The 11,864-nt window shown below is 41.2% G+C and overlaps 2 annotated features.

Annotated features, from left to right (window-relative positions):
- Positions 1,094 to 1,213: an enhancer, noted in NCBI's record as "active region_16583". NCBI's record gives its function as "activates an Ori minimal core promoter by ATAC-STARR-seq in GM12878 lymphoblastoid cells {active_cell/tissue: GM12878}" and the evidence as "EXISTENCE:reporter gene assay evidence [ECO:0000049][PMID:35858748]".
- Positions 1,234 to 1,283: an enhancer, noted in NCBI's record as "active region_16582". NCBI's record gives its function as "activates an Ori minimal core promoter by ATAC-STARR-seq in GM12878 lymphoblastoid cells {active_cell/tissue: GM12878}" and the evidence as "EXISTENCE:reporter gene assay evidence [ECO:0000049][PMID:35858748]".

Genomic DNA, 11,864 nt, shown 5'->3' with positions numbered 1-11,864 from the left:
ACTTTTTTCCCTGGATCTTTCATCCTGTGTATGGGAAGGCACTCATCTGGACTATGTGAAAATTATTTGGGGAGGGGTGTTGCCAAGGCAGAAGTTCTTTCACAGGGTGGAGAGAGTAAGTTGCTAAAATTCTTATCTCATTCTCCCTCTCACGGAGCCTCCTAAGTCTTCTGGGAATAGAGAAGGAAAGTGGAGATCACCCCGTCAAGCCAAGCCCAGCTCCCTCTGTGTATTCCACTCATGATTAACTTCTAAGTACCTAAATGGGAGTTATTTTGAAGTCTTCATTCCTTACTTTTTTTTTCTCCTATTCTCAACTTCTTTGTTATTTCACTGCTCATTACCACCTCTACTAGAGAACACAGGAAAGGAAATGAAACTCACCTATAATGATATAATACCAGGAAAAAAAATTGGTTCAGTACATACTGTGAGAGTCTTAGAACAAAGTGACTTTAGAGAGTATCACTTTGTAGTGGTTACAATCACTTAAGATGTGACTTTGGCTGCAAGAAAGAGAAAACCTGACTCTGTTTAAGAGCTAGAGACATGGAATCACTTCATGTAATAAGAAGGGCATGGGTAAGCAATTCTGAGATTGGTGCAATGGCCCAGCAATGGTGCTCAAGGGCCCAGGCTCTTGCTGTCTCAAGGCTCCCCATCCTCAGAGAGTTGACTTTTCATCCTCACATGTGTTTACACAAGATAAAGTGGTCATCCCAGTTCCAAGCATCTTTCCCCCACAGTTGCTTTCAAGGCAGGAAGGTGAAGGCAGGGAACAGGCTGTTTTCCCATGTCTCTATCACTTTATTTAGGAAAATAACTCTTCCCAGAAACCCTCCAGCAAACAGCCCCTTAGGTCACATGAGCCACCTAATTGCAAGACAGGCTGAGAGAAGTCATATGTCATTTACCAGCCTCTATTCTATACTGAGAAGTAGACAGGAAAAGGGTGTTTGAAATGACTATAGAGTTAATCAACAGTACCTGCCACAGTGGAAAACTGTCTTATTTGACAACAAAGAAAATCGAGGCCAAGAGAATTTTTAAAACTCACATTTCACATGTGTTGGGCACCCACTGTTTGCTGGACCCAAAAGTTAGTTGGTGACAAAACCAAAGCTAAAAGCAGGGGGGGCCTGACCCCATCTCTATGCATGTGTGTTAGGCCACACTGCGGTCTGTCTAGGAGTAGAAGAGAGAAGGATGCACACTGATATTTGCATCAGACAGATGAAATGACTTTAAAAAGGAGAAGGAAGATGGTTTGATTCTTCTTGAGTAACAGAGACATAAACACTTTTCTATTAGATATAGCATTGATTAAAAAGATGCACCAGGGAGAACATTTTGAAACTTCTGGCTATAGTAAGATTTGGGAGAATTAGTTATAGATTTATTCTGTAGCAAGGTATCCATAAGGAACCAAGACTCTACCATCCAAAAGACTAAAAGATAAAAATATAAAAGCACCCCACTGTTTTGGAACCTTTCTATCATCCCTGATTTCATAATGAAGAACTGAAGCTAAACAAGGTTCAATGACTCACATTAAGCTCAAGGAGACTCGATGACATGGCACAGGTCAGTGATTAATGAAATTTTCATGTGATCTCAGGCAGTAGAGTTTAAGCCATACATTTAAGCAGAGTATATGTTACATGTTTCTGAAGCATGTCAGCTCTGTCTGATTCCCTAGACAACTCAGGCAAAGTCCAAGATACCAACCTGAATTACCCTTGGATTTCATTCCAAAGTTGAGACTGTGACCTAGATAACTGTAGCTATGGTCTATTCATTATTGTCCTACAAATAACGTTATATGGAAACTTCTAACAACTGTGGTAAATTGTTTAATTTGTAGCTTATATGTGGAAATGAGAGTTTCAAAATTATACTCTACTGTGAATATTAACAACCACAAATTACCAACACACCTTTGTCCTGAGCAAATGGTCACAATAAACCTATACATTGAGGGCATTGATGCAGGTCCTCCCTTAGATACCCCAAGGGAAGAGTGGTGATGGTGTCACCAGGCTGGGGCAGGGCAAATGAGTGGGTCTGCCCAGATCCCATGCAGCTCCCAATTGCCTTGTGTGACTACAAGGAACTTTATTTCCTATAGCATTGAGGAGTGGCCTTCTACTGTAGGGGAAGCTTGAGCAGGGCCTGGAGGGAGGGGAAGTTTCATTCTTCACCCAATTCCCTAAGACATTGTTCTGATCTAACAAAGCCCAGTCGTTTGGAGAAACACAGAGTCCTTTTGTCCTATGCAGGGGAATCCACATTCAATTTAGCACAGAGGCCCAGTTTTACTAATTATGTCACTATGCAATACTGTGCTATGAAGAAGACCCAGACAAATATGAATGTTTAGCCATGTTCTTGCCCTATTATATGCAAATGTTTTTTTATTTCTGAATTCCGATTATCTATATGACTGCTCTAGAGAGATACAGAATGCTAGAGACAGAAGGGGCTCTAGAAATGATCTACTTAGGCCCCATCCTTTGACAGAACAGAAAAAGACACTCTAACAGTGTTAAGAAAGCAGCCAAACCAGAACCATAATCCAGAGCTCCTAACTTACTTGATTATCTTTTGCAATGCAGAGATAAAGTGCTGCCTTCTGTGTGGATCTATCCATGACCACCTATAGTGGAAGGCGTGTCCCTTCCTGGAATGTACCTTTCTGTGAAGACACAGTTTTACAAATAACAATTGGTAAAACTGAAATCATGCTATACTTCAGGTACATTGTGGTCTTTTGTGGGCTTACAAGGAAACCTATTACTTACTATTTCTATGAAAAAAAAAATGTACTTAGGGTTCCAAACAACCAACTTGCACATGCAATTTCAGAATAAATGCATTTCATAAATAGCCTGAGACTATGACCCCATAGCATAGTTCTTGGAAATTCTTGCATTGTTTCCATGGTCACAGATACCCCGTGACTGTGAGATGGCTGCAATGGTTGATAGGAAATTCCTAGCATCTTCACTGGTGTCTCTCCTGCCTAGGCCCTTCCTTCCCAGTATCAGAATGGCTGCCCTCCCAGCAGCTGAAACAGGAAGTCCTTGCTGAAGATCATCTGTGGCACATCTCCATGTCTACTACAGAGATTCACCGAGGTAGACACTGCTGATGTAGTGGACACAGACATGTGCCACCCAGATTCTCTGTCAAGGAGGGGCTTGCTGCCCAGCTGCAAGGAGTGTGACCAACAGATGGCCTTCAGCTGTCAGTTTCTTCAATGTCAGCCTCAGCTAGAAAGAGCCACTTTGCCCAAGACTGTGCCTTCCTGGCATAGTCCACACCTAGTGATGGAGTGAGGCAGCAGGATAAAGGCCCAGACAGCTCCGTTCAATGTGGGAAACACAGTCGGACGATAGTCTCTCCAGAGCTCCCCAGGGGTTAGCTGAGATTTCCATGGTCCTGCATTGTGATTCAGCTTTTTCTTCTGCCCAATCCTGTTACCTCTCCCTTCTTTTGACAGGTTTTGGTTTGTTTATAATAGACTGCTTTTAAGAATACTTTCTGAGGCCGGGTGTGGTGGCTCACGCCTGTAACCCCAGCACTTTGGGAGGCCAAGGCGGGCAGATCATGGGGTTGGGAGTTCAAGACCGGCCTGGCCAACATGGTGAAACCTCATCTCTACTAAAAACACAAAAATTAGCCAGGCACGGTGGCACACGCCTGTACTCCCAGCTACTCGGGAGGCTGAGGCAGAAAAATCGCTTGAACCTGGGAGCTAGAGGTTGTGGTGAGCTGAGATTGCACCATTGCACTCCAGCCTGGGTGGCAGAGCAAGACTCCGTCTCAAAAAAAAAAAAAAAAAAAAGAATAGTTTCTGATATACAGAAAAACTGAGACTATAGCACAGAGTTTCCATATGCCCTCATTCAGTTTTCCCTATTAGTAACACCTCACATTAGTATAATACATTTGTTACAATTAATGAAGCAATACTGATACATTACTATTAACTAGAGTTGGTAGTTTATTTAGTTCTCCTTAGTGTTTACTGAATGTCCTTTGATGCTTCCAGGATCACATCCAGGATGCCACATTACATTTTGTTGTTATGTGTCTTTAAGCTTCTCTCCTTTTACAGGTTTCAAACCAAGTAAACACCTTGCATCCCAAATTCCATCTGTGAATCTGCTTCCAGAGAACCCAAGCCACATCAGCTGGTTCACTACCCAATAGCCATTCTCCCTTCTTGCTAACAGCATGCCAATTTCTGATGGGCAGCAATGAGCCCAGCCCCAGGACATGAATCACAATGGGTCTAATGCAATATGTCCATTGCAATCTTGTTTGCTAGTGACTGACCCAGGGTGACCACCCAGTCCTGATAGACACCAGGGGCTATCTGCCAGGGTCTTTCTAAGAAGATTTTCCTCCTTGATTTTTTTAAGAAAATTATCATAAGGATTCAAGGAGAAAGTTTGTTTGTCCCACCTCTTTCTCCATCTGCTTTAGTCACTGCCATGTGACACCTAAAACTACACAACATCAGGCATTAAAGCAAAGCAGAATGGGCCAAGGCTCCTGGGTATCTCATGACATCATTGAGCTGCAGAACCAACACTGTAACTGGAATTCTTAAGTAAATAATAAATGCCCCTGTGTTTAAGACACTGCCAGTTAAATTTTCTGTTACTTGCAGCTGAAAGCATTTCTAATATGCACTCACAGACTAGCATAAGGAAAGGATTTACTGTAAGGATTCACATGGCTAGAAGGAAGTTAGAATCTCATAAAATTTTAAGAACAGGGTCAGACTGCACAGAAGGTAGTTCTGAACAGTAGTTCTAAATCCAGGGAAGCTGTAAAGACCCTCATTAACAGTTTTAAAGATCCTTACTCCAGTGCTCAACTTTTTACAATCTTTTATCTGCCTCATAGTCTCTGCTTCCTCATCAATGTGACTCCCTTAAGATATCTCAAGTCTCTCTTAATCTACTGAACTTTTAGTTCCAGCTCCCACTAGAAATTCTCGATATGTCCCTGTTGAAATCCCTCAGGGGAAGACGGTAGCTGACCCAGCTCATCTTTTTCTGCTAGGCCATACCACAGGACACTGGCCAGCCTATAGCTTGTCTATTTTTGACACAAGTATCCTATCTTAGTCCAATCAGTTATGCTTGGAGGGACAAGGTCACAAGGATAAAACCTGGCCATACATACAGCTATGCTTGGAGGAACAAGGTCACAAGGATAAAACCTGCCCCTTCAACAAGACTATATATGGGACAGAGGCTTGGTCTGGCAGAGGGACACACAGACTCTAGCACAGCACAGTCAGGAGCAGAAAGGTGAAGCTATCAATGCCTTGCACTCTTATCCTCATTTCTGCCCCCCTCCTTCACCAAATTAGTCTGGTTCTAATACTTTTTGTCCATTTTGAGTTTTATTACTGGCAACATTTATGTCTCACACAAATAAAAGATGTTTCCAAATGCATCTTTGGTTACTACTAGTAGGAAAGAAAAAGAGAAAGACAGAAAGAGAGAGAGAGAGAAGAAAGAAAGAAAGAAAAAGAAAGAAAGAAAGAAAGAAAGAAAGAAAGAAAGAAAGAAAGAAAGAAAGAAAAAGAAAGAGAGAAACAGAGAGAGGGAGTGAGGGAGGAAGGAAGGAAGGAAATAAGGAAGGAAGGGAAAAGAGGAAGGAAGCAAGAAAAACAGAGCAAGAGAGTATTGTATTTCACTGGCACAAACAGGTGTTGATGGCAGAGACTTGGCACTTTAGCCAGAAAGGAAGACAGAATGCAAAGCCATGGAGGAGTGAGGTCCAAGTCAGCTCCCAACTCAGCCCAGAACCAATGGGAAACAGAGAAGGTTTCATGGAAGATGGAGGTTTTAATTGATGACATAAACTAGACTAATCCCACAGGCTCCTGCAGTACAATCCTGCTCCATGGAAAGCATTTTATGGACTTAGCCATACCCTGGGTCATACAAATCTTCCCACAGGAGTGTCATCTCCCTTCCCCTGACATCAGCACTATGATACATTTTTACTGCATATCTCATCAGAGAGGCTTAAATTAATACCATTTCCAAAACAGCATAAGCATCCAATTTATCCCTGAGAATATGACAAGCAATGGGAAAACCCAGCCCAACATATCTAAAAGCACAGTGAAACTATGAAAATGGGATTTTACTCCATGACTACCAGAAGTTTCTTGCAAGTATTTGCTGTGCAAAAACCTTGGCTTTCATTCATCTCTTGATTTTTTAAGCTGGTCTTTGAACACTACTCTCAGTAGGTAGTTGGCCCTTTTGATGTTTGGCATTTGCGTAAAAAAGATGAGTTATTTAATTTTCTGCAAAGGCAACCAAGCCTGTTCTGTATGTAAAGAGGCAAGCAGTTCAGGCATATGTGACCATGTGGGAGTGAAAGCTTTTCTTCTTTGAAGGTTCAAAGTTAACATGTCAATTGAATTTCAAGGAATTGTGCATTGGACCCTAAAATGTGGAAACTAAACAGTTAGGCAACTTGAAGTGTAGGGTTAAAGCAATTATCAGGAAAATTAAGAGGAACCGAAGGACTGCTCATAGTGGAAAACATTTTTTTCTTCTTTGTTTCCAATTATCTAACTTGGCTATCTTCTTACCAAATAGAATGTTGGCAATCCAGCAGAAAATCCAAAAGAAACTTAAATTGGCTACAACCCTAAAAGCAAGACAAATTAGAAGTGTGGCTTGATTATGCAGATGGGTTAGAATACAGGCTGGTGAGAAAGGTCGTTTAGCCTGAATGGTCCAGATTGATCACTTGTGTGAAGTTGAGTTAATGTGTGCTGATAGACATTTTCCATTTATGTATAGACAAGGCCTGAGAGGAAGTGAACAACACTCAACAAATTTGTTGAATGTCTGTATGTGGTAGGCTGTGTGCTAAAGGCTACAAATACAGAAATGAAAAAAAGACAAACATCTACCAAAACTACTCTGTAAAATGAACCTAAGAAGGATAGACTAAAAATAAATTAAATATTCAAAAAGATTATGAGTTTTGAGGATGATGAAGCATTTTGAGTTTCATGGACTTTCAACTCCCACCTCCCACCCCACGGACCAGCCTACTTGAAACCAATCCAATCGCCTTAAATGGAATTGAAGACCTTCTACAATTTGAGCTCAGAAAGTACTTTTGCACTCTATCCCCAACCAGACATCTCCAGCCCCACGCCATACCCTCTAGGGTCAGCTCAACTGTTTTCTAATGTACTGTCACTCTGTGGATTCAGTCAAGCCATTCTCTCCCCCCGAAATATCCTCCCCTCCTTCATTCCTCATAAACCCCATTCTTCCTCCCACCAGTCCTTCCTGCCCTGCCATATCTGACTGTTGAAGCCCACTTTTTTAAGCCTAATTAAATGCAAAAGCCTCCATGAAGAACATCAGTGATTCTTCTTAGTCTACAATTACCACGCACTCTCTGGGCTCCTATGACGTTTTGTTTATAGCTCCTGCTGGGAGCACATTATTTTTACCTGTCTTTGCAGTCATATACATATTTCTATCTCCTACTAGTTTGTTATTCTGAAGAGAGTCGTGGTCATATTCATTTCCTTAGTCATGCTAGATATGCACAGAGTAGATATTCAACACGTTCATTACTATATTGAACTGTTGAAGAAGGACAAAGCAAGATGCATGACTGTGTTCTCCTTCCAGAAGCAGAGCCAACAGTAAAGACTAAATAGCCTGCAAAAATTAGTTTGTGAGGTTTCTTTGTATCTTTCGTTATTTTCTATATCAACACGTTGCTTTGACCATGAGTTTCCCCTCCAGACTTCTGTAATTCTTGATATTTTTTGTTTTGAAAACTTATTTTTGTTCTGAGGCACTCTTCCTCTGTGTGTCTATCTGTGCTAGGGAGTTGGGCTACTTCAGGAAAGCATGGACCAATATATGGCTGACAGAACTTCCTTATCATCAGAACACGCCCACATCCAGACTTTTCAAGGAAATGTACGTTTTGCAGGAATGTTCACCACACTTTCAGCTAGAGGGTTCTCTTTTTCTCAACTTTTATTTTAGATCCAGGAGAAACATGTGCATGTCTGTTACAAAGGTATGTTGTGTGATGCTGAGGTTTGGGATACAAATGATCCCTTCACCCAGGTAGTGAGTATAGTACCCAATAGGTAGTGTTTCAGCCCTTGCCCCCTTCACTCCCTCCCTACTCTGTGGTAGTCCCCAGCATCTATTGTTCCCATCTTTGTGGTCATGAGTACGCAGTGTTTAGCTTCCACTTACAAGTGAAAACATGCAGTATTTGTATTTCTTTCTCTTTTCTTTGTTTTTTTTTTTTTTTTTTTTTTGAGACAGAGTCTCTCTCTCACCCAGGTTGGAGTGCAGTGGCCCACTCTCGGCTCATTGCAAGCTCTGCCTCCAGGGTTCACGCCATTCTCCTGCCTCAGCCTCCTGAGTAGCTGGGACTACAGGCGCCCGCCACCATGCCTGGCTAATTTTTTGTATTTTTTAGTAGAGACAGGGTTTCACCGTGTTAGCCAGGATGGTCTTGATCTCCTGACCTCATGATCCGCCCGCCTCAGCCTCCCAGAGTGCTGGGATTACACTTTTTTTTTTTTTTGAGTTGGAGTCTCTCTCTGTTGCCCAGGCTGAAGTGCAGTGGCACAATCTTGGCTCACTGCAACCTCTGCCTCCCAGGTTCAAGTGACTCTCCTGCCTCAGCCTCCAGAGTAGCTGGGACTACAGGCATGTGCCACCACATCTGGCTAATTTTTGTATTTTTAGTAGAGACAGGGTCTTGAACTTCTGACCTCAAGTGATCTGCCTGTCTTGGCCTCCCAAAGTGCTGGGATTACAGGCGTGAGCCACTGCACCCAGCCAAGAATGGATTATTCTATGTCAACAATTAGAGAAATTCAGAATAGAGAGATCAAGAAAAGAGGTCAAGGCAACAAGGAAGGTATTTTTTACATGAACTAAGCTGCTTTTGACCTCATGGACTTCTGAGGTTTCAAGGAAAGGATGGTCATCATTACTAATGACAGTCCAGACAGAGTCATTCATTCAGTCATTCAATAAACATTTATTGAATGTCTAACACATAGCAGGACTGTTCACAGGACAAGGCAAGGCATGATCCCTGTCCTCAGTCTAGTGAGGTGACCAGATCTTAAACTACACAATCAATTGTGAAAAGTCTGACTATGGAAAAATATATGGTGCTGTGAGAATGAATGATGGGTGTGTGCAACCTAGGCTGGAGGTCAAGGAAAGCCTCTCTGTGGAAATGACATTGAAGTTGGGCCCCAAAGGACAAGAGGATGTTTCCCACGTTAGAAGGAAAAAGAGTGTGTTTCAGGCAGAGATAATGTGAACATGGACACAACTAGGCCTGGAAGTCACAACAGGAAGAAAGATGGGAGACAAGAAAGTTAGGATGTGAATTTATATGTACGGACCCAACCCTGACTGTCCCACTAGGCCTCCTTATTATGTGTTCTTGTAGCACCCGGTCTCTGTCTTCCAGAGTTCATAATTGTGTCTGTGTGTGTTTGCCCAAAGAGACTATCACTCAGTCTCTACCACCTAACTGTAAGACCCACGAGGGTGGAAACATTTTCCATTCCATTCACTATTGCAAACCCAGTGCCTACCCCAGAACCTGGAACATCATATGCACTCAATAAATATTTGTGGAATTAAGGAATGACTACGTGACATTCCCTCCATATTGTTTTATCCTACATTGTTATAGTATTTTAAAAAACACTGCAAGGAGTTGGGTTTAATTCTGGTTCCAGCCTTAACTCCCTAGTGATCTTGGATATTTCCTTTAACCTCTTTGGGACCCATATTCATTCATGACCAAAATTAAAATATTGAATGTGATTATCTCTGAACTCTTCACCAGCTCAAAACTCAAATGTGTTCTATTCCTACGGGTTATACTTTTTGTTTCTTTTCTTGTGTTTATATTTCCCACTGGGTCTTGTGTTTTTTCCCTATCATTTATTATTTGCCTCCTCACAGGAAAACCCCAGTATTCCAGGTGCTGCTACATAAAGTTAGAATTTGTAAGTTTATCAAGCCTCAGTCAAAGGAAGCAAATCCTGAAGAACTGTCCTTTCCTCTATGCACACCCGTGGGGGTTATCAAAAGGCTAACATCAAAGCCGATTACTTTACCAAGAGGTTCCCAGCCAAGTAGCCCTTTGACTTGCTTTCATACCTATACACTAAGATGAAGCTAGTTAAAAAACAAAATTCAAAAACACTTCTCATTTATATTTTTGTCTCTTCCGGTGAAACAGATTACTTAAAACTAATTGACCATCAATGGGGTACAATTACCCCTTCTACATCTTGCACTGAAACACACAAATACACACACACACACACACACACACACACACACAGGATGGATTTCCAGCAAGGTGCATTTTTTCCTGAAAAATTCTTAGAATTATTCTATTTCATTGGTTTATTAATATGTGCTCTTTAATATGCTTGTCTTAAAAATGAATATGGATACAATAACGGCCAGGCATGGTGGCTCACGCCTGTAATCCCAGCACTTTGGGAGGCCGAGGCAGGTGGATCATGATGTCAGGAGCTCGAGACCAGCCTGGCCAACATGGTGAAACCCCATCTCTACTAAAAATACAAAAATTAGCTGGGCGTGGTGGTGCATGCCTGTAATCCCAGCTACTGGGGAGGCTGAAGCAGGAGAATGGCTTGAACCCAGGAGGCGGAGGTTGCAGTGAGCCAAGATCGTGCCATTGCACTCCAGCCTGGGGGACAGAGCAAGACTCCGTCTCAAAAAAAAAAAAATGAATATGGATAAGATAACATTTATTTTTGTATCTGAAAAAAATCACAATTCATAATTTATTGCCAGTGGCAAGAGTTAAAAATAGCTGATTTTTTTTTTACGCTACTGATTATAACAGGAGGAGAAAAGATGTTAAATGCCTAGTAGTTTGCACTAATCTAGATCACAATAATATCACAAGTAGATTTACAATATATTAAATAACCAATTGACTCTACCTTTTTTGTGAATATAAAGTTTTTTTCAGCAGGTAACAGGCATGATTTTAAAAATCGGTTTAGAATTCCCCAAAACATTGTTCCTATTTCTCTGAGTGTCTCCACCCATGAAACAAAACATAAATCTACTCTAGTTTGCACAAAGACATCTAACAGATAACAATGTATCGGAAGGGGTATGTATTTATATTCAGGAGTGCCTGTCTGGAAAACAGAGGGGACTATATCAGGTCTGATCTTCAAGTCTGTCTTTTAATTAGTTTGCCTCAAGTACTTGTTCTCTGTGTGAGAATCCACCTTATTTAGCTCAGGATGATCACGTTATGAATGCAGGAAGTAATGGCTATTCTGGCTATTTGCAAAGACAAGGCTTGGATACATATTCTAATAACACAGTATGAAATAGAGTAAAGGAGTGTTCTTAGGTGGGACCTTTATCAGTGTTGTCACAAATGGTAATGAGTCAAAGCTTAATAACGATGTGCCAAAAAGGTTGTCTTAGCAAAAATAGCAAAAACCCATCCTAGTAGAATTCATCTGTTACTCTACAGGCAGATTTGTGAAAGCTTCAGCAATTTTCTTCTTGCCAAGAGAACTGGCTTTGCTGTCCAATTGTTTTCTCATAGAAAGGGATTTTTGTTTTTTATCAACTTTTTTTATATATTGATCATATGTTAAATATTACATATTTCTCTTTGGAATCTTAATTAAAAGATATGCCTTGTAAAAAGAGCTTTATTGAGATATTATTCACATGCCACACAACTCACCCATTTAAAGTAGACAATTCAATGGCTTTTAGTATATTCACAGAATT

This window comes from Homo sapiens, chromosome 2 (genome assembly GCF_000001405.40).
Source record: "Homo sapiens chromosome 2, GRCh38.p14 Primary Assembly".
Lineage (NCBI taxonomy): Eukaryota > Metazoa > Chordata > Mammalia > Primates > Hominidae > Homo > Homo sapiens.
Note: the sequence above shows the minus strand (reverse complement) of the source record. Positions and strands in the feature narration are given on the sequence as shown.